General features: G+C 41.1%; 1 pseudogene; it reads right to left on the bottom strand.

Annotated features, from left to right (window-relative positions):
- ISCA1P3 (iron-sulfur cluster assembly 1 pseudogene 3) lies at positions 404-2,374 on the bottom strand (annotated as a pseudogene).

The following is a 3,040-nucleotide window of genomic DNA, read 5'->3' as shown; positions in this document are numbered from 1 at the left end:
TATTCACATATTATGTTACTTGGGTCCTAGATGGATCTTACTCAACCTGATCTTTATTTAAATTGAAAGTTTTGATGTGTACCTACACAAAGACATTTTATTTATTTATTTAGAGACAGTTTCACTCTTGTTGCCCAGGCTGGAGTGCAATAGCGCAATCTCGGCTCACCGCAACCTCCACCTCCCAGGTTCAAGTGATTCTCCTGCGTCAGCCTCCCGAGTAGCTGGGATTACAGGCATACAACACCATGCCCAGCTAATTTTATATTTTCAGTAGAGACAGGGTTTCTCCATGTTGGTCAGGCTGGTTACAAACTCCTGACCTCGGGTGATCCGCCTGCCTCAGCCTCCCAGAGTGCTGGGATTACAGGCGTGAGCCACCACGCCTGGCCCATTTTATTTTTTTAATGACCACAGAGGCCACATTTTTTTAAACTGACAACTCAATCTCTACATACATACAGTATTGCACAAATTATAAGTGGATCAACAATTATATTAATGATACAAACTCATGAGCATTTACATAAAACTACCGCTCTAGGTTTTGATGCGTTTTGTGCCAACTACTTCAGTAAATAAAAGAAACATAAAGAAACTCAGCTACTTGAATTCATGAGAATCAGCTTTCTAAAAACGCATATATGTCATCTCAGAATTCTTAATATGTCAAACCCAGGAAAATCAGAAACTAGGAACACTTTTAAAGAAAAGTTGGTGATAAAAATGTTAGGTTAAAATATTGTGTAAGAACTTTAGCAACTGGACTGAGTAACCAGGAAGTATTTGCATACTGGGAATTTTAAGAAAAGCTCCCCATGTTCTCCTTTGCAATTAGGACCACATTCCAAAAGCATAATTCTGGGTTGTTACAATATTTTCTCTTCTACAAACCACTGTTTCAAAGGTTAAGGAAACAAGATGGTAATTCACATAAAAGAATTTTAAAGTATTCTTCCCACTCAAAATAAAAATAATATGACCTCCATCAAATTATAAGGAAATTCTATCAAAATGTTGACCAGATAAAGAAGTCAGAACATTTGCCTTCACTGACTGACTCAGACGGCAGAGCATGTATGTCACCTACAAGGAAGGGGAGATGGGGGTAAAGCCCCTGCTCTCACCTGTGAAGGGGGGGTGGACAGGAGCCCTTTGGCTTCCCTGGGGTTTTGCTTCCTTACACAGAGAACTGAGGGCGGTGGGCTACATGGCTTTTAAAAGACACCTCAATGGAAAGGATCAAATTCAGCTTGAGATCTCATCTCTGAGCAGACATATAGGGTGGCAAAAGAAACAGATTTAAAAACAGGTGGATGAAGTCTTTCTCACCTTTTGCTACCATCACTCAGCACTAATCTGTACTATAGTTCAAGCAAATCCTTGCTTGGTACTATTAAAGGGTCTGCAACAAGGCATCTGACAGTGAATTTTTGATAAAAATGTAAAAAGGCTATGTTAAGTTTGGGTGGAAAAACAATGTACCGCCATGTTACTACCAGCAGTCAGGACGTCCTGTCTCTGATTTTAGGAGTCGCCAGTCTGGATGGGAGAAATGCTGAAGGGGATGCGTGTTCAAGCCGTTCAATAGAGATCTAATGAGTGTACATGGTTCAGGAAATGGATGAACAGGTGCCCAGGAAGGCAACTTTGATGAAACTGGTTCTAAAACAAATGATGCAAGAGGATTAAATGATCCAAAGAGAGTGATGTCTTCTCACTTTCTGTCCCCTACAGAGAATACAAATGTCATTTCTTCTGGAATCTAACTTACTGGCTTCATTTTCAAAATGCATCACTTTATTTTCTTTACAAGGCAGCCGCAAGTTAAGCATGTGACAGTCACATGATTTCTTCAGTGAGCCCCAAGGTTTCCACCAGCTTTCCTGGAGCCTATGGCCAGAGGAGTCCTGAGATGTCAAATATTAACTTACTCCACAGCCACAAGTTCATGTTGGGTTATTGAACATAACTCACTGGATAATTTGTCTTCAACATAGTCCATTTCTGTTCCTAAAGGTGTTAGCTGTGCTTTCTTTTCGATGAATACTCTGGCTTCATCTTGTATAACTTCATCAGAATTTCCTTTTGTTTTCGTATATTCTACAGTATAAGAAAGGCCATTACAGCCCCTGGTTCGGACACCAACTTTTACATCTACAAGCTCAGGCTTATCTTTAAGGAATTGTTTTATCTTGTTTACTGCTGAAGGTGTCGGGGTGAGGGTGCCCGGGTGGGCTGCAGCTTCCTCTTGCTCAAAGCCCAGACAGTTGCCCGGACTAAGGAAACGACATCTTTCCCATCCCTGCATCTCAGTGCCTTGGGCTGGAGCTGCGCCGCCTCAGCCTCTCTCCATGGACGCGGCGGGCCCATTGACACAAAGGCGTTTTATACATACACATAGATTTTTCCATAGGATAATTGAGCCCTAAAAAAAAAGCCAGTTTTTTATAGCCTTCAATACCAGTGTGTTTTTTCCTCTTTCAAAATGTATGTCCTATCAGTAATATTTATTTATTATTATTATTATTATTATTATTATTATTATTGAGATGGAGTCTCACTCTGTCGCCCAGGCTGGAATGCAGTGGCACGATCTCGGCTCACTGCAACCTCCACCTCCTAGGTTTAAGCCATTCTCGTGCCTCAGCCTCCCCAGTAGCTGGAATTACAGGCACTGTACCACTACGCCTGGCTAATTTTTCTATTTTTAGTAGAGGCGGGGTTTCACCATATTGGCCAGGGTGGTCTCGAACACCTGAGCTCAAGTGATCTGCCCGCCTTAGCCTCCCAAAGTGCTGAGATAACAGGCGTGAGCCACTGCGCCTGGCTCTATCAGTAATATTTATTCACTTCCACAAATAATCTAGTTTTATGCCAAAATGTACTGTATATTTTGTGTATATTTTTCTTTTGCTATTATTTTTATTTAATTACATCCTGAGTGCATACTTATTAATTTAAAAGATAAAACCACACAAATGTTTTAGGTTCCATACCTGAGAGTCCCTCTTCACCTCCAGCCATGTACCTGGTTCTC

The sequence above is a fragment of the Homo sapiens genome, chromosome 17 (assembly GCF_000001405.40).
Source record: "Homo sapiens chromosome 17, GRCh38.p14 Primary Assembly".
Classification (NCBI taxonomy): domain Eukaryota; kingdom Metazoa; phylum Chordata; class Mammalia; order Primates; family Hominidae; genus Homo; species Homo sapiens.
The sequence above is the reverse complement of the archived record's forward strand: the minus strand, read 5'-3'. Positions and strand labels throughout refer to the sequence as shown.